At 42.0% G+C, this 20,722-nt stretch overlaps 1 protein-coding gene and 1 long non-coding RNA gene across 17 annotated transcripts in view; both read right to left on the bottom strand.

The window, feature by feature from the left end:
* The window catches only part of SAMD4A (sterile alpha motif domain containing 4A), a 228,000-nt gene that overhangs the window by 144,709 nt on the left and 62,569 nt on the right, over positions 1-20,722 (bottom strand). The window lies entirely within an intron of this gene.
* Positions 1-20,722, bottom strand: part of LOC112268133 (uncharacterized) — a 64,608-nt gene that overhangs the window by 20,048 nt on the left and 23,838 nt on the right. The window contains exon 2 of the long non-coding RNA XR_002957606.2: positions 1-20,722. This exon is cut by the window's left edge and continues 20,048 nt beyond it; it is cut by the window's right edge and continues 18,386 nt beyond it. This is a non-coding gene — a long non-coding RNA (uncharacterized LOC112268133).

Here is a 20,722-nt window from a genome sequence, read left to right as displayed (position 1 = left end):
CAAACACACAACTCTGAATATCATCTGTGCACATGAATTAAATACTACCACTCTGCAAACATTAAATTGATCCATCTACCAACCTGCTTCTCTGATACAGCCTCAGGATACACATTCTGTCTACAAGGTGTCTCAAGCTAGATATTCCTATGCCAGCACAAATTAGACAATGCAAAAAGGAGCTGTTCCCCCATCACTAGGCTGGAAGCCTTGAAGTAGCTGCCAACCTTCACTGTACTTCAACCCACAATAAGTTGGCTGCCAAATCCTCCCGTGTTCCCCAGCACTGAAGTCTCAATCTGCCCTTTCCTCCTCCTGCCTCTATTCAGAGTCCTGTGCCTGTCCTGGTCATCTCCTCACTGAAACCCCACACCTCTTCCAGCTGCCCTTAGTTTCCTCCTATTGCTATAACAAGTATCCTTCCAGAAGTCTCACAAAAGTTTCTGTCTATATCCATGTACAGGTGCCAGGGAGTCAGCCTCCATTCCCCTCCCACTTAATCCTCCTATTGTCTTCCACTGTCCACATGTGGCTATTGCAATTAATTAAAAATCCAGTTCTTCAGCTGCACTAAGCACATTTTAAGTGCTCAAGGGCCACATGTGGCTGGTGGCCACCCTACTGAACAGTGCAGCTGTAGGGCATTCCACTTTTATGCATTTATCCCCCATACATTTATCAACTCAACATTTTATACAACCCAACACTTTTATCAACAGCGCAGCTGTAGGGCTCAGGAAGTTCTACTGGATAGTACAGAACCTATCCCCTCTGGCAAACCTATTCAATTCCCACAACAAAATCTATGAGAGTAAATTCCATACCCAATCAGCCCTTTGAACCTGATTTTTTACTAAGACCTCATGTTTCAATTTTAAGGAGGTCCTAAAATATTCCTCCCTGAGATCCACCCTAATTTTAAGGAAAAGGTATATTACACACCCGTCTCCCTATCCCACATAAACATGACTTCCCTTTCATAAAACTTCTCTTCTACGCAGAGTAAATATTTATTCTGCTCAGCTGTTATGCATGAGCATATAGTCAATGTACTTAACATGTTGACTATTTTAGATTGAATGGTTTTAGGGGCAGAACCAATATTGAATGGTGCCAAGCACAGAAAGCTCTTTAAAAAGTGTGTTTTCATAAGGGTGATAACATAGTGGGGAAGCAGTTAGGCTTTGGAGTTACCCAGGCCTAGAACTGTTCTGCCACTTACTAGCCGGGGACCTGGGACAATTATTTAATCCCTTATCATCCTCAGTTTAAGTATTGGTAAAAGAGAGAAAATGGTAACTATCCTCCTTACAGAGAAGTGATGATTAAACGTGATGACACCTGCAAATCAATTAGCAATGGTTGGTTCATAATGACCACTCATTAATATTAGTTGATGATGATAATAACGTATCAAACATTTAAAATTATTATAAACAAGATAAACTTAAATAATACTTGTGGAAGTTAAAAGCAAGATGAAAAGGTATCCCAAATGTTAAGTACTTGTCTTATAGAGTCAAATGAATGCCTTCAGATACAATGTAATAGATATTACTTAAATATCAAACCTTGGAAAATATGTGTCAAAGTAACATAAATTCGAACATTTCCATTCTGTTTCTTGTATAAAAGCTGCATTGAGTTTCCAGCCCTTTGGAAAATTTGTCTCAGGGATAGTGGAACCTTGTTTGGCAGGTTGAATAAGTTTCCATTAGTTAAATGCAAGCAGGGTGATTTCATTTTAAAAGTGAAATGTGAAAGTGGTTAAACGGGCAGGATACAACTAATCATACTAGTCTTTTTAAAAATTTGAAAAACAAAACAAGAAGAAGAGTTCTAATTCAAAGCACATGTAGGCATTATTTTGCATTAAGTGCTTACAGGCCCATTCTCCCAGTGAACTGATGAAATAGGCACAAACAGTCCACACATTTGGAGCATGAGCTCTTTCTCCCTACCTCCAGTAGCTGAAATTCAGAGGTGGCTATATGGACTCAAAAGCCAAAGCCAGTACATTAATTCTGCCTAACTGGCCATCCATTCTTCTCTTGCTACGGCTTCTAAATGTGCTAGGCCAGTGGTTCTTAACGTGTGCACCCTGGATCAATGGCAGCAGTATCACGTGGGAACTTGCAAATGCTTGGGTCTCCCAATCTACTGCATCACAAACTCTGAGGGCGGGGCCCACCAATGTGTTTGAACAATTCCTACAGATGTTCTGGTGCCAGAGCACGGGAAGTACACCTGGGCTGCATTTATGCCCTCTGTTTGGGGGCAGCTTCCACAGAGAAGCCATTAGGCCTCTTCTTAGGTAGTACTGAGAAAGCTTCAACTGGCTCTCATTTGCACTGACACATAATATGGACTCAGCCTTCCTCACTATAACTCAATTCTCTGATATGACAATTAATGGAATCACATAATGTTCAGCAGCGCCTAGGAAGTAGGGCCTCTGTGACAAACCTGGGCCATGTGGAGAAAGCGAACCCTAATTATTCATTTTGTCGATCACAAAGAAAACTCCTGGCCCAAAACCATATGGTTTAATTTACTTGGCCTCCATAGGAAGAGTTATTGATCTACAATGAGAGATGAAATAACCACATAAAAGATGGAGTATTGCAGTTAGTTTAGGAAAGCCTCTAACACTTCCTTATTTGAAAAAAGAATAATTTTGCGAAGCAAAAGAATCACAGAATTATGTAACAAATTCCCACTGACTATATAAAAAACGGCAAGGAAAGATACAGGCAACCCTCTTCAGATGTTTTTCAAGACATAACATTTCTTAACAGTCAAAACTCAGAGGGAAACAGAGAAGTATTCTGGATCGCATGAATAATCACACAAAATGACTTATAAGCAACAATGCCTTAAATGACTTTTGTTGTCATGTTTTAAAAGATCCAAAACAAAATGAAAGCTTATTTTAATACTTTGATGCTTCCATAATGTTGACAGTTATATTTTCACAATTCAAATATATTCTCCAGCAGAGTGCCTTATTCATATTTTAGTGGAAGGAAATAAAATTCAATATGCATAAATTTAAGGTCTTATGCTTTTTAAAAAAACAGGCTTTGAAGTATTTTTTAAGCAAGACTTAGAGTCACATATTTTTGTAATTAAGATAATTTAGAGAAACGAGCAGAGTCTTTCGTAAATTAATGTAAAAGATATTGCATAGTTATATATGGCTCCAATTTCTGAAAGAAGAAACCTTAACAGTAGTTATGTCTGAACAGTGGGATAGGGATAGGCATGGCAGAGAAGTAAGACTACTTTTAAAAAGTAGTTTTCTGTAGCGATAGGATCTTACCATATTGCCAGGCTGGTTTCAAACTCCTCGGCTCAAGCAGTCCTCCTGCCTCAACCTCCCAAAGTCCTGGGATTGTAGGTGTGAGCCACTGTGACTGTCCAAACTTTACCTTTTTCACTTTAAGTCCTTGGGTCCTATTCAAATTTATTTTCATACATATTTTGTATAATTTTTAAAACTACACCAGTTAGAAATAAATTAACTTAAAAATAATAAATCCATATTATTACACCATCAACCTTTGGTACACATCACACTGAATGTCACTTAAGAACTTCAGGTCGCCATTTCAGATAACTATTTTTTTAACAGTTTGAGTACACTATCACCAGATACCAGTAGATTCTCATCTGGTAGTGGTAGAAGTTAGCCACATTGCAAATGAAGAAACGGAGGCCCAGAGAGATTAAGAGATTTTCCCACACCATCCAATTTACTGATACTGAAGGCAAGACTTGCCCTCAGTCCTTTGACTTCTCAATTTATGCTTTTTAAAAAAATCATATCATGTTGCCTGTCACATGTCCTGCAACACCACTCATGTGTTTAAGATCTGAATCATACTAACTTACTACAGGTTTTACAAAAACATAACTCCATTAGAATTAAAGCTGAACACTAGAATTAAACCCTTCCCTTACCGAGGGCCATGCAGAGGTTCCACACAGAGGCAGTGATGGAAGGGTCTTGGACTTGGGACTTTCTACCTGAATCTGACTCCTCTAATTACTGTGTGACTAATTGCATGTAGCCTCTTTATGTCTTCTTTTCTCACCTGCACTGTGGCGATTAAAAACATCTACCTACTTACTAGTGTTGTGAAGGTGAAATGAACGAATTTCTGTCAAGTACATAGCCAGGTGCCTGGTACGTAACAAGTGCCCAATAATAGTTAGCTATTACCCGTCAACATTTAAATTAATAAACTAGGTGCAATTTAGAACCTAATTTCTATTTTAAATCTATTAGAAGTATGGTATTTAACCCCCAAATTTGATTAGAAGTGCCCATCTTTGAGAAGATTTGCATTTACCACAAGTTAGTAACCTTAGACAAGATACACCTCTCTGTCCCATTCTCCTTAGCAGTAAGGGCTGAGATGCTCAGATTCAAGAAATGTGTGTGAAAATGCTGGAAAATGGCAAAGTTTCCTAAACAAAAGGTAGACTTTGTTTTTAGCTTACCCTGAATCACAGCCGGTAGTCAAGAGAGGCCTTCCCAGTGGTTTGCCCTGAAACTTCCAGATCACCCAAATGACCTTTGACTGCTTCTCCCAGCTGTCCGCAATAAGCATTTGTTCTACCGAGTCCCTCCTGGACCTACAGTCTTCCCCGCCCAGTGTGAAGCCCTTCTCTCCCACCTGCCCTACATTAGAGCCCCTCTTTTCTTCTTTCTTTGGTGGAAAGGCGTCTGTTCTCCAGGCTGAAAGCACACAAAAAAAACCTGTGACTAATTTCTTTTCAAATCTGGAGGCAGTCTTCCACTATTCTCTTCAGTCAGGGAGAAGTAAGTCAAATCCCTGTGACTTCCTTAACAAAAACATTCTTTGAAGGCACAAACAGAATAAGCAATAACTGACAATTTAAACATACCTAGAATACTTTACCACACATTTTTCTTGAGTGTCTTATAACACCGCAAAACTTCAAAGAGCATACCGACTCTTGCCTACCGGCTGAAAGGGAAATATCTAGGTCCACTGTTGAGGCATTTCCAGGATATTTAAAAATGTTTACTGGAACTGATAACAACCACCTATTGACAGTGGGCTGCTGAGGATCTCCGGGCCTAGGAGACCTCCTAGCTCAAGGCTGGTACTTCCATAAAAGGACTGACATTTGCCAATGTCTGGTTTAGTGACAAAGTCAAAAGAACAGCTTTGGATTTTTGAAACCTAAGCATCAAAGATGGGAGGTATGCATTTGCTTTCACCAACAACTGGGTGGAGGAGAAGCTTCACAGGCAGTTTGTTTGTATTGAGTTAGGCTCATCATGAGGCTACTCAGTGAGCTCCATATCGGGGAAGACCATTTGGAAAGGTGTATGCTTTTCTGTCCCCCTTAGAGTTCTTTTTCAAACCTAGATGTTTTAAAGAGAAGTGAATTGAGTAAACAGCAGATGGCGTGCTTGAAGCCAGGTTCTAACTCCCTGGCCCTTGCCTGTTGTCTTAAAGACTTTCCCCCTCCTGCCTTGTTGATTCAACTCTTTATTCTTATTGAGTATCTGCTTTTCTATCCAAATATTAGAGGAAGCAAAGACGGAGCTGAATCAGCAAGTTGCCTTGAGACCTTTGGGGAAAGGGAGGTTGTTTCCCTCACAGTCCAGGGCTTTCCAAGCACCATTACCCCACATATTGGGCTCACTGCTGAGCTCTCTGTCATCCAGAGGTTCTGGTGAACCAGTGACACTGTGTAACGCAGCTCTCAGTGTTTATGAATGTTCACAGGCTGATCACACCATGTTCACGCATGCAGGGTCTGCAGGTTGGGTTACAGCAGACTCGCTTCCTCTTGACTAAGAACGCTTTTCTCTTCGTCCGACTCTCCATCCCTTCTGCTTCTCCCAGTCCCCTCAACCTGATACCAGGAAGCTGGATCATCCACTCAACGGGATCTTTCATTCCTGTTATCTCAGTGATGAACACAGTACCAGGCACATAGCTGGTACTGAATGAATCTCCACAAATCAGTACATGAATGGATAGATGAACTCAGTGCCCATTGCTATCCAAACCACATTGAAAGGCAAGGATTTGCCTGGAGATTTGAGGGCAGAGTCAGGGACAAGAAGTTACAGGGAAGGATGAATTCAAAAGAATTCTATGGAGAGCCGATGCCAGACCAACTTGAGAGCAGCAGTTTATGTCGGGTTTGTAACACCAGCTTCCACTTTTGTGTCTCCTCTACCCACCACCAATTCCCAGAGTATACACTGTAACTCTTCATTGAACAAAGTCCCCTTCAGTCAACAAAGTAGTCTGTGCTCCCCTAGGACTACTTTCCCAGCCTAGAGAAAGCCTCCTCCACATTATCATGACCTTAGTCCCCTGCCCTTAGTGAGATGCCAGGAAAGAAATCCAGTAAATCAGTTCAAGCCATCATGCTGATACATGACTAGACATAAGCATCTTAGTGAGAGACTTAGAACTAATATCTACCTTCCAAGAACTTAAAACTTACTGACTTCTGGCCAGGTGTAGTGGCTCACGCCTGTAATCCCAGCACTTTGGGAGGCCGAGACGGGTGGATCACTTGAGGTCAGGAGTTCAAGACCAGCCTGGCCAACATGGTGAAACCCTTTCTCTACTAAAAATACAAAAATTAGCTGGGCGTGGTGGTGTGCACCTGTAATCCCAACTACTCAGGAGGCTAAGGTAGGAGAATTGCTTGAACCCAGGAGGAGGAGGTTGCAGTGACCCAAGATTGCACCACTGTACTCAAGCCTGGGTGACAGAGCGAGACTCTATCTCAAAAAACAACAACAACAACAATAAACTTACTGACTTCTTGATAAAAGCCTGTGTAGAAAATTAAAGGTCACTGATTCTCCACAGAAAAATTGTTCCACATAGAAAAAAACTATACTGGACTTGGAGTCAGAAGACTTGAGTGTGAATATTGGGTTTGCCTCTTAATGGTGGGTTGTCTTAAGCAAAATATGTACTCTCTGGGTCTGCAATGCTATCATATGTAAAATGCTCCATGTCTCATATGCCACTATGTGGACTAAATGCAACAAGATTTTTAATACTGCTTTGTAAACTTTAATGTAGTGAACGCACGAGTGTAGTGAAGCAGTAAAGAAAAAAAGAGACAAAGAGACTATTCTTTGAGAATCTAGAATTAAGATAGGACAGGAAATTGGCATCACATTAAATGAGTTTCAAATAAGACTAGGTTGTGATCTGTAGGGCTAAACATATACTCATAGCACCAAAAGTACAGGTGGTCCCTGCTTATAGACCCAGAGTATGCCTAGAGATGTTGGTGATGAAGAAGAAACTGATGATAATGCCTTTACTGATAACTATGTATCTGGCATTAATCTGAGCACTTTATATGTATTATCTTGTTTTACCTGACAATAGCCCTGAGAGGTGTGTAATACCATTATCCCCATTTTACAGATGAGAAAACAAGTTAAAGCCTAGAGAGTTCAAGTCATCATTAAGTGGAATTCCCTCTGAGTGCACAGTTTTCAACAGACTGCTGAATGAGAGGATAAAGGCATTAAGGAGGAACAGCCGAGCTTTTATTGAGCAGGACTGAAAGGGTGAATTGGAGAGAGGTGAAGCTCAAGAGCAGGAGGTGGAATGAAGTTACAGACACTGAGAAGAAACCTGTGAACTCCTAGTGTGAAAGACCAAAAGGAAACTCTTGATAATGGAAGACAAGATGCAGCCTGTGTGTAAGGGGAAGGCCAGTAGGAAGCAGGGAGAATGTAATTGTTGGGAAATCAGTGGAGATATACCATAGCATTCTCTCTCCCCACGGCCTGCCCAGTGCACCAGGCACACTAATCAGCAATGTTCTCATTCTCGGAGGCAGGACCTGCTGCTGTGACAATTGAGGGCTGGGGTGAGGGCATGCTGATGAAGCTGCTGCCATCCCCAAAGCCTCGTGCCACCTCCGAGCATTCAGCGCCATTCCCGTGAGCAGTGACAGGAAGAAGCAGCTAAAGCTAGCTGTTACCACCAGACTGCTAATGAAAACCAGAAAGTCTGCAAACAAAACTGCCGGCTTCTCCAGAATCGAACCAGAATAGCATAAATTTGGAAAAGGAGCCCTTTCCACTCAGCACAGGTTTCCCCCGCAGTGAGTCCCATCAACCAAAATGAGATCTATAAATCCTGACAATGTCTCTGCGACTCTGCATTTTTCTTCTTCTAAATCAATAAATAATTGATTCTGTGTCAATAGGGACCTCTTATATCCCAAACACAGATAAGAGATTTTAGAGATAAGCTACAGATCTTTACAGTTATGAAACGGATTTACAAACCCAGAGTAAAACATAAAAATCTCATAGCACGAAACTTCCAGGTACTGTTGAGAGAGAGACACGAGGGCGCTGGGAGATGAAGGAAGAGGGAAAACCATTTCTGGGGAAAGAGTAAAGGCCTGGTTGTAGGTTTGGTTTTGTTTCTTCGGGGGAGGGCCAACAGAAGCTACTCTTCCCTGACTTGCTTGGAGTAACAGACTTGCAGATGGTGATTTGAGGGTACACTGCAAACAAAATCCCAAGGCTATTTTTTTTTTTATCAAACATAGATATTTTGGTTTAATTAGCCAATTCAAGCAGACATTTTGGCCAGACATAGCCTATTGAAAATAAGCAGAATTACAAGAATTTGGCATTTTAAAAAGGAGTAGTTTGTCAATGGCAGAATGTTAGACTGCTTCTTTACATCCTTGTCTATGAGCCAGACATAGCAGAACTAGTAACAGTGGTGTGTACGTGTGTGTGTGTGTGTGTGTGTGTGTTTCAAGCAATGCTGACTTGACATTCAGAACATCTGCTCGAGGTAGGCAAGTAGCAGGCATCCCTAGCATCCAGGAGAAATGACAGTACAGTGCTATGAGCTGCCATGTTTGAAATCCCAAAGCAAAGGAGAAACACCTTAAAACCCCAGGGCTGAACATGGGATGAAGACTCCACATAAAAGTGCTGACAGATTCCGAAGGGAGGCAAAGGGAAGTACTGCCCGCCGTAACAGGCCACCTGGGCTGCCAGTGCTGCATGTGGCCCAGCTGCTCGTGGCTGTGAGGAGTGGCCCCCACTTGTGAGGCTGGTTGCCTTCCTCCTCCCTCCTTTGCCCCCCTCACGCCAACCCTGCTGCCTTAGTTGAGAGAGAACTCTGGGTTAGATGAGAGCAAGGCATTTTAGACAAGGGTGTGAGACACATGCAAGAAACAGAGACGCTGAGAAACTTCACCAGGCTCAGCCACCATGTTTCTTACATCTCCATGACTGCAGGCTAGAGGAGATTGTAACAACAGCAGCAGCAGCAACAATAACAGCTGCCGGTTATTTCGTGCCCCCACGCAACAGGCACTGTGCTCAGAACTTTACATATAATATTTTATGGATTCTGACATAACTCTGTGATGCAGGTTATTTTCCCCACAATAGAGATGAAGAAATAGAAGCTTGGAGGGATTAAAGTAATTTGCTGGGGTCAATAAGTACCAAATGGCATGGTCCATGGATCTGCTAAACCATGTCCTTTCTCTCTAGCATGCCAACCTTGCTCAGGCATCTAGTGAGACAAATGAGTTTCTGTGCCCTAAGGTTAATAAACCTAAACTTGGTCAGATTTCAAAAAAATAATAAATGCCAAGAAGCAAAACCAACCTGTTTAATTTAGGCAGTAAACTCTCTTCAACAACACCATTTAAAATAGCACTAACTGCCGAATGTCCACTCTCTTAGAACATCGGTATACATTGAATTCAGGTAATAAAATGAACTTTTCAATTTCTAGCTAGGCCAGAAATTATTGTAAATAGTTTCCATGATGAGATAAATTAGTCTGGGTATTACATTATAACTCAGAGTATACTCTTCCCTGAAACAACATGATAAACGACTGGCTTAATCTCCTAGAGAAATGTCTCTTGTTGTTCAAAAAATAGCAACAGAAACGGTTTTACTTATAGACAAATCTTGTTCCTTGTTGATTCTTGTTTTTAAACCGAGGACTTATAGAGGAAGATGCTTTTAAATCAGGGAATTTAACAAACAGCCTCTGATAATTTATCATAACTTCTCTTTTTCTTTCATGTTTATTTTGTTTAAGATGACAATATCCATAATGCTAAAAGTTTACTATATCCATCACTATTCACCCTCAGAATGCCAATATTCTAGAATTCCTTTGCTCTGGCTCAAGGAAATATTAATGCACGCAGGGATTTGTATAGGATTGACAGAGCCAACTCAGCATGACAAATGGGGGAAATTCCATGCGCAACGTTTATGGGAAACATCAGGTTAGTATGCTGCTAAGACCAGCTGCTCCGTGTGCTGCGGCTCCCCCGTGCAGTCCCCCATGAATCATGCAGACACACAGTTGCCCTAAGCCTGTGGCATCTACTGTGTGACTTGCTTAAGCAAAGACAAGACTTTTCTTTTGCCCCTGGAGAGTAAGGACTCCATATGCTGTGCCATAATCTCCTTGTAGCAAAAATAGCCATAGAGATTTCTATCACTTCCAGGAAGGAAGGATGTACAGGATGGTGACCATTTGGCAAAAAGCTGGCAAGGTTGGGACTCTGTGCAATAACTGACTCACTTTGATGCTGGAGACCTTCCTGATATACAAGAGCAATGTGTTAGCAGAGAGGCTATGGAGTCTGTGCACACGTTGTTTATTGGTGTATGAGGCTTTCTTAATAAAAATTTCACGAATTCAAGAGATCCTGAGTGGCACATGAAACAAAGGAGAAATAAATTTCATCAACTGGGGATTCCAAAAGGCCATTTAGGACTGATTTAATGTAACTAGTATCAAAATAGGGTCAGAGGTACATCACTGTGTCACTTACAAAGCTACCTTCCACCCCTGCTCATTCCTCTCTGTCTTGTGAGGCCAGAACTGATGGAAGAAGATGCTTTCCTTTTCTTCTGGGGCTGCTGTTGGCAAGCTCTGTGTCCACGAGGCTCTTTCTCACTATTCCCTGTGCTGACACATGGTGCGGACTCCCAGGTCTCTTCTCCAGGTGGAAAGAGGTCGGACTCTTCTTGCTTGGCCTCTCAGATGCTTTGGACACTTTCTCCTTCTTAACACTCCTTCTTCACCTGGCTTCTAGAGCTCCACCCTCTCCTGGCTTTCTGCCAACCTCACTGGCATCTCCTTCTCATCTCTTCTGCTAATTCCTACTCTTCTTCTTGCCTCTTTTTTTTTTTTTTTTTTTTTTGAGATGGAGTTTCGCTCTTGTTGCCCAGGCTGGAGTGCAATGACGCAGTCTCAGCTCACTGAAACCTCCACCTCCCGGGTTCAAGCAATCCTCCTGCGACAGCCACCCAAGTAGCTGGGATTACAGGTGTCCGCCACCATGCCCAACTAACTTTTGTATTTTTAGTAGAGACGAGGTTTCATCATGTTGGCCAGGCTGGTCTCGAACTCCTGACCTCAGGTGATCCACCCACCTCTGCTTCCCAAAGTGCTGGGATTACAGGCGTGAGCTACCAGGCCTGGCCTCTTCTTGCCTCTTAATGTTGAAATGACTCAGTTCTTAGTCTGTGGTCTCCTCTTTATTTACCGTCACTCCCCTGGTGAGCTCATGCAGTTCCATGCCATATAGTTGGTATTTAAAGTAAACTCCCAAATGTATATCTCGCCCCCTTGATCGGTCTCTTTTAAATTCCAGACTTATATATCCAACCGCCTATTCAACAATGGGACTTGGAGGTATAATCAATATCTCAATTTCAGCATGTTCTTAACCAAATTCCTGAGCTTTCCTGCCAAGCCCAATGCCCTCCCCATCTCTGTGATGGCATCTCCATCTTTTCAGTTGCCCAGGTCAAAAAGCTTAGGATAATTCCTGACTCCTCTCTTTCTCTCTCACCCTATATCCAATCTGCCAGGAAATTCTGTTGTCAGGAAATCCACCTTCAAGATGTACCCAAAATATATTCAGAGCACGACCACTTTCACCAGTTACACTGCTGTCAGCCAAGTGTGAGCCGCCATCATCTCTTACTCTACCAGCCTTCCAACAGGTCTTCCTGCTTTCCACATCTGCCCTCCTAAAGTTTATTCTCAACATAGAAGCCAGAGTTCTCTTTTTAAAGTATAAGTCAGAGCATGCCACTTTTCTGCTCAAAACCTGCGATGTCTCCAAAATTCATTCTGAGTGTGGAAGCCAAAGGGCTTACACTTAGCCTACAAGGCCCTGCATGATTCCCAGTGCACGACTCCCCCACCACCACTTACCTCTTGGGGTTTCGCCTCCCACCACCCTTCCTCTTGATCACTCCTCTCCAGTCACACCAGCCTCCTCGTACATCCCAACCTAAGGGCTTTTGTAATGGCCGTTCCCAGTGCATGAAACAACCTTCCCCTCAAATGCAAATGCAAACTGCCTTCCCTCCCTAACATCTCTGTTCAAATGCCACCTTCTAGCTGAGGCTCACACCACACTATATAAAATCACAACTCTTGGCAAAACTCCAAGCAACCATAGCTTGCCTGACTTTTCATTTTTTCCACAAGACTTATCTAACATACTCTGTGATTTACTTACCTTACGCTACGTATTGCTTCTCATTGTCTGTCTCCCCACATCCTCCCATTAGAATGTAAGCTCCACGAGGGAAAGGATCTTTGTTTTGTTATTCAACGTATCCCAAGTGTCTAGACCTGTGTCTGGCACATAGCAGTTGCTTGATAACTATTTCTGGATTGAATAAATGAATGCTGGGCTGTGGTATGCAAAAATAGGATCACTGAAATTTCAAGTCCTGGTGGTTTAATTTGCAGTGCTGATGTTATTTTTCTCATTCATTGGCTAATTTTTTCTTTTCTTTTTTTTTTTTGAGATGGAGTCTTGCTCTGTCGCTGGAGTGCAGTGGTGCAATCTCGGCTCACTGCAAACTCCACCTCCTGGGTTCAAGTGATTCTCTTGCCTCAGCCTCCCAAGTAGCTGGGATTACAGGTATGAGCCACCACACCCAGCTAATTTTTGTATTTTTAGTAGAGATGGTTTTGTCATGTTGGCCAGGCTGGTCTCGAACGCCTGACCACAGATGATCTGCCCACCTCGGCCTCCCAAAGTGTTGGGATTACGGACGTGAGCGATTGCACCTGGCCTGTTGGATAATTTTTTATTTTATTTTATTATTATTATTATTTGAGATGGAGTTTCATTCTTGTTGTCCAGGCTGGATTGCAATGGCGTGATCTCAGCTCACTGCAACCTCCGCCTCCTGGGTTTGAGTGATTCTCCTGCCTCAGCCTCCTGAGTAGCTGAGATTACAGGTGCCTGCCACCATGCCCAGCTAATTTTTTTGTATTTTTAGTAGAGACGGTGTTTCACCATGTTGGCCAGGCTGGTCTTGAACTCCTGTCCTCAAGTGATCCACCCGCCTCAGCCTCCCAAAGTGGTGGGATTACAAGTGTGAGCCACAGCGCCCAGCTGGATAAGTTTTGAGATTATGTCTTAAAGGCACTGCTCTTAATTATAAAAGTGATTTGTGAACTATTAAGAAATGAGACTCACTTTTATCTACAAATGTTCTTGAAAAACAAGTTCCTGGGTTCAAAATGATGTAACTGATGAGCCCTGAATGCATAGCAGGATACAGTGACCAAGATCTGCAGATCCCCAAACTTTAGTTCTTGGCTCATGGTTCTGGGAATCAGACCCAAAGACACATTTTAACTTAAAAGTCTTGCTGACACTGCTAAGTTTATTACTATGTTAGTATATTTTTAGAATTTATTTTTAACTATATAAATAACGTGTCAGTATATTCACACTATTTCACAGGTGGATGGATAGATAGATAGATAGATAGACAGACAGACAGACAGACAGACAGACAGACAGACAGACAGATAGATAGATAGATAGAGGGTCCCCAACCCCTGGGACACAGACCGGTACTGGTCCACAGCCTGTTAGGAACCAGGCCACACAGCATGAGGTGAGCGGCGGGCGACCATTACCACCTGAGCTCTGCCTCCTGTCAAAGCAGCATGGTATTAGATTCTCATAGAAGCGCAGACCCTATTGTGAACTGTGCATGCAAGGGATCTAGGTTGCACACTCCTTATGACCAACCCCCATCCCTGTCCCCACTACCCTGGCCCGTGGAAACTTTGTCTTCCATGAAACCAGTCCCTGGTGCCAAAAAGGTGGGGGACCGCTGATACAGATAATGTAAAGCTTTCCTTATCAATCACCCAATCCCATTCCCCTTCCAATGGGTCCTATTTCTATTCATTCATTCATTTTATTCAACAGTACTTCCCCCCTCCCCCCACCCCCCCGAGATGGAGTCTTGCTCTGTCGCCCGGGCTGGAGTGCAGCGGCATGATCTGGGCTCACTGCAACCTCTGCCTCCCAGGTTCAAGCAATTTTCCTGCCTCAGCCTCCCGAGTAGCTGGGATTACAGGCATACACCACCATCCCTGGCTGATTTTTGTATTTTTAGTACAGACAGGGTTTCACCATCTTGGCCAGGCTGGTCTCGAACTCCTGACCTCAGATGATCTGCCCACCTGTGCTGGAATTACAGGCGTGAGCCACCGCACCCAGCTGAATATACATAATTTTATTCAACAATATTTAGTGACTATCTATTATGTGCCAAATACTGTTCCAAATGCTGAGGACACAGTAATAAGACAGACAAGAAGATCCCCCCTCCAACACTTCCAATCTTCCCCATCTCAATACCTAATAAAAGCTGATATTTGTTTAGCAGGTACCAAGCATTTTACATATGTTAAGTGATATATTCATAACCACCATATGAAAATGTGAAATTACTCTCCTCATTTTATAAAGGATAGTAAAGCAGAGAGAGAAGAGATTATTGCCCAAGGTCATACCTCTAGTAAATGACAGAGCCAGGAGGGCACATAGTCCTTGAGTCCTATCTCTCCCTGACTCCTCCTGCCCCCTCCCCATCCTTTGTATCTGTCAGCAAAACCAGCAGGCTCCACCTCCTCCATCCCCACTACCCCCTAGGCACCAGGCACCCCACTCTCTGACATGGCTGACTGGCATGGCATTAGCTCCTAACTAATCTCCCTGTCTCCCTCTACTTGTCCCCAACTACTCACGACCCCACATCCAGAGTGATCTTACAATGTTCAGACCCCCTAATGGCTTCCATTGCACCTAGAACACAATCCTAAATCGGGTCTATATGAATCCTGCCTTCCTGTCTACTCACAGCCCTGCAGTCTCCTCCTCACTCACCAGTCTCCAGCCAAACTGGCCTGCTTTCCAGTCCTTGAACACAGCAGGGCCATTTCTGCTGTGGAGCATAGCCCCAGCTGTTGTGATCCCAGATCTTACGTGGCTGGCTCGGTTTCATCATCTAGGATTTAATCCCAACGTCACATCCTTGACCACCCAAACTAAAATAGCTCCCCTGCCTCCACTCCTCATGCCCACCCTTATACATTATGGTTAGGACTGTAGGTTGGTATAACCTCTTCAGACAGCCAGCTGGCAGTTTCCATCAGAACCTAAATCACATACCTAGCTGTTTGATCCAGCTATTCTACTTCTAAGAATTTATTCTAAATATAAACTTGTACATGTGTGAAATGATATATATTACAGGACTATTCATTGCTGTGATGCTTCTAAAAGCAAAATGTTGACAAAAACTTCACTATCCTTCAATAGGGTCTCCTTAAATAAATTACTATACATAGTGACAGATAAAATACATTAGGTACTTTCTACGTGCCTAACAACAACCTTATGAGTTAAGTACTGTTATACGTCCTATTTTAGATAAGAAAGTTAAAACAGAGTGAGCTTAAGTAACTTACCCAAGATGCATAGCTAATAAGTGGTAAATTGAGGATTCAGACCACAGGTTCTTGGTCTCTATGCAATACTGCCTGCCAGTACACATTCCTGTGGTGGAATACCATGCAGCCAGCAAAAGGAATGATGCATTATATACATACTGGTATGGGCTGATCATCAAGACATGCTGTTAAGTGAAAAAAAAAGTGAAGTGTAGAACAAATGGGTAGAGCTTAACCTGTTGGAGTTTTGGGGTGTTTTTAAGAACACAAATGTGTATGTTTGCATACTTCTATGCAAAGACCTATAAGGAACAGTGGGAAATTATGTAAAAACAGTGGCTACTCTGGAAAGGGAAACTATAGGTGGCCAGGGCAGGGGTAGGAGATTTACATTTTACTGTGTATTCTTTTGTGCCTTTTGGTTTTTGTCATGTATGCACAAACATGCACATACTGACTATTCAAATTAATAATGAAAAACAAACAGATTACCAGATTGAGATTTCCAAAAGGAAAAAGGGTACAGCCAAATCATTACCGTATAATCGTTTGCATTTTTTTTGTATATCTAATAGTAAGTGGTTTGTTTATTAGTGCATGTTCATCTTGACTCTACTATAGTCATCCTCTAAAATGCTTTGGTTTTTCTTTGTAGTGGGGCTGTGGTAGTGTGGGGAAGGCAATGCATGTTTATTGTACTAGCTTTGTAAGCTCACTAGACCCCACTAGAATGTAAGCTCCAGGAGGGCAGGGACTCTGTGTGTACAGTTCAGTGCCATACCCCCAGCATTTAGCACCCTACCTGGTGTATAGTAACTCTGAATGAATGAACGGTAGTGCCCAAAAATCTAGGGGTGAGACAGAGAGTAAAACTGTAGGAACTTTCTTTACCAAAAATGCACAAAAATTGTTAATACTTTAGACCAACACTTAAGTTTCTTAGTATAAAGAAGCTATGTATGTCCCAAGGGATTTCACTTAGGCTTATACAGGGTCAGAAAAATGCTGATAGTGGGCAAGAAGCAGTGAGGTTATGAAAGAAAAAGAAAACAGCTCAAGCCTTAAAAAGCAGGAGAGATTTAGAGAAGCTACATGGACATGTACAAAGTTTCAGTTATTATTTAAGTAATTTGGGATTATAAAAATTATTATTGATTCAGTAAAAGGAAAACTCCTTCTTTGAGGCCACATCATTCTAAGGGAAACATCTGCCCTAGAAATGACCACCTGGAGCCCTCCAAAGTTGCTTTGTCTTGTTATACCTTCACATGAAAAGGAATGAGCTCAATAACAGACTTGAGCCACAAAACCTATAGGAAAATGAAGACCCTGAGAATGTTCTTCATCTTCAAACTAATTAGCAGAGGCAGAGGAGGACAGCATCATTTGTTAGTGCTGTGTGATTGTTAGTTTTATGTGTCAACTTTACTGAGCTATGAGGTGCCCAGATATTTGGCCATATGTTATTCTGAACGTTTTTATATGGGTGTTTTGGGATGAGATTAACATTTATATCAGTGGCCTGAGTAAAGCAGGGTGCCATCCATAATGTGGGTGGGCCTTACCCAATCAGCTGAAGGCCTGAACAGAACAGAAAGGCTGATCCTCCCTTGAGTAAGGGAGAATTCCTCCTGCTTGGCTGCCCTTGAACTGGGACATTAGCCTTTTCCTGCTTTGGACTCAAATGGAAACATCAGCTTTTCCCATGTTTTGAGCCCATCAGCCCTTGGACTGGAACTACACCATCAGCTCTCCTGGACCTCCAGCCTGCTGGCTCTGCCTGCAGCTCTTGTCAGCCTTCATACACATGTGAGCCGATTTCTCATCACACACACACACACACACACACACACACACACACACACACACACACATATAAAATACAAGATTTATTATATGTGTAATAAATATAGCTATGTAATTATAAATATGTAGTTACATTATATTTATTATAAAATATACACATATATGCATACACACATCCTATTGGCTCTTTTTCTCTGGAGAACCCTGACTAATACATGTTGCTTCCTCTGTTAGAAAACTCACCATAGTGAAATACCCCTTGATACAACCTATCACTAGAAGCCTGATAATGAGAATACAATATCCCCATGACCACCACCACCAAAGCATTCTCAGCTGGTGCAGAGAGAAACAACAGCTTAAAAGCTAAAGACTCATACGTATATCTGATAAGGGGTTAATACTCAGAATATATAAAGAACTCCTACAATGCAACAACAAAATACAATCTGATTTTAAAAATTGGGAAAGGACCTGAATGAACATTTCTCCAAAGAAGATATACAAATGGCTAATAAGCACATGGGACGATGGCCAACATCACCCATCATTCGGGAAATGCAAATTAAAACCACAATGCAATATCATCTCATATTCATTGGGATGGCTACTATTAAAAAACAAGACAGAAAATAACAAGGGTTGGCAAGGATATGGAGAAATTGGAACCCTTGTGCATTGCTAGTGGGAATGTAAAATGATGCAGCTGCTATGGAAAACAGTATGGCAGTTCCTCAAAATATTAAAAATAGAATCACCATATGATCCAGCAATTCCACTTCTCGATATATACCCAAAATAATTGAAAGTAGGATTTCAAAGAGATCTTTGTAAACCCCTGTTCATAGCAGCATTATTCACAATAGCCAAAGGGTGGAAGCAACCCAAGTGTCCACTGATAGATGAGTGGGTAAACAAAATGACATATATACATACAATGGAATATTATTCAACCTCCAAAAGGAAGAAGATTCTGACACATGCTACAACATGATGATGCTTGAGGACATTATGCTAATGAAATAAACCAGACACAAAGGGATAAGTCCTGTATGATTCCACTTATATGAGGTATCTAGAAGAGTCAAATTCATACAGACAGAAAATAGAACAGTGGGTGCCAGGGGAAGGAAGTAATGGGGCGTGATTGTTTAATATACACACACAGTTTCATTTTTGCAAGATTAAAAGAGTTCTAAAGATGGATGGTGGTAATGGCTGCATAACAATGTGAATGCACTTCATACCACTGAACTGTACACTTAAAAATGGCCAAGTTGATAAACTGTATTTTACCGCAATTGAAAAAAAAATTTTTAAGCCAAATACTTAGAGATCTCCAGAATATACCAGTAAGCTTTAAAGAAAAAAAAGAATAGCAGAAAATGAATATAATATAGGTTCATTATATAAAAACTAACATAAATATACATGCATAGAAAGGAGATAAACTGTCATTAGCAGTTACCAATAAGATGGGAAGGGACAGATAAAACGAAATATTCATGTATCACTCTGTATGCCATACTGGGGCTTACTGATTGAATCTGGTACAATAAAAACATATTTGTATTAGCTTCCTAGGATGACTGTAAAATACCACAAACTGGGTAACTTAAAACAACAGAAATTTATTCTCACAGTTCTGAAAACAAATCAGGTTGTCTGAAATCAAGATGTGTCAGCAGGGCCATGCTCTCCCTGAGACACTAAGTAGAATCTGTCGTTGCCTCTTCCAAGCTTCTGGTGGTGGCCGTCAATCCTGGGCATTGCTTGGCTTGCAGCTGCCTCACTCTAATCTCTGCCTCTGTGATTATTAATACCTGGTGCTCTTCCTGTGTGTCTCTCTTCATATGGCATTGTCGGCTTCTTATAGGGATACCCAGTCACATTGGATTAGGGCCCACCATCACGTCATAACTTCATTTTAACTTGTCTACATCTGCAAAGACCCTATTTCCAAAGAAGGTCACATTCATAACTACTGGAGGTTAGAACTTTGACATTCTGGGGGAGGCAGGACACAATTCAACCTGTAACAATATTTGTGTTTAAAAAAAAACCAAAACTACAGTTAAGGTTCCTTGAACACCCTATTTATGAGCCCATACAGATCCATTAGAGACAATACTATGAGAATGAAGAACCTGGATTAAGGAGCCACACTGTAGAGGTTCAAATCCCAGCTCAGCCACTTACAAGCTACATAACTTTGAGGCAGTTCATTAACTTCCCAGTGCCTCAGTTTCCTTATCTGTAAAATAGCAGCACATAGGTCAAACGGTTGTTAGGAGGATTAAATGAGTTATCAAGTACTTAGTACAATGCCTGGTACACACTAAGTACTCAATCAACATGAGCAATTGTTGATATGATTATCACCATTTTCAGCATCCCAAAGACTCCCCTAGGAAGCATTCTTGGGGACAGAGCATGCTTTATTTTTATAGCACCTACTGAAGGCCTATTTCCATAGCTGCTTCCCCAATAGTCTCATGCTTGACTTTCAGAGCATCAGCAATTTCATCTGATGCAGAGTTATACTGCTGCAGTAAATATTCTTCATCCATGCCATTATTCAATTCCCTTCCTTGGTGCAGACCCCTCTGTGACATGGCAGTGATGCTCATGAAGGCCGGCGGAGTCTCCAAGCAGCACCACCTAGACCGTCCGGGCAAAGCGCCTGTCACTTCACATGCAGCCCCAGGAAGGGACACAGAGCAGTCTTCGGCCTCAGTCCTCCCACCTTCTGTGATCAGGGCCCTATATTTGGATTTTGATCTCGGCCTGACTTGCTGCTAAATCTGTAACCAGTTACTCTTACAGGGTTGTGGGGGAGGAGTCATGTTGCTATGGCAATCCAACAACTCTGGGAGAAGGAGAGGAGAGGAAATGGAATTTCAAGGCCCGAGACCACCAAGACTCAGAAATACCCATTTCTGCGTGTGTGCCACAGAAATGAATCTTGATATGCTAAAATAAACAGACCTCTCTTCTCTTTTTCCCAAATTTCCAACCATTGACAAAAATAAAAGCCTGCTTATACAAGAACTCTATTCACATGTCATTTCCTAACAGGACAGAAACTAAAA

This window comes from Homo sapiens, chromosome 14, assembly GCF_000001405.40.
Source record: "Homo sapiens chromosome 14, GRCh38.p14 Primary Assembly".
NCBI classification, from domain to species: Eukaryota; Metazoa; Chordata; class Mammalia; order Primates; family Hominidae; genus Homo; species Homo sapiens.
The sequence above is the reverse complement of the archived record's forward strand: the minus strand, read 5'-3'. Positions and strand labels throughout refer to the sequence as shown.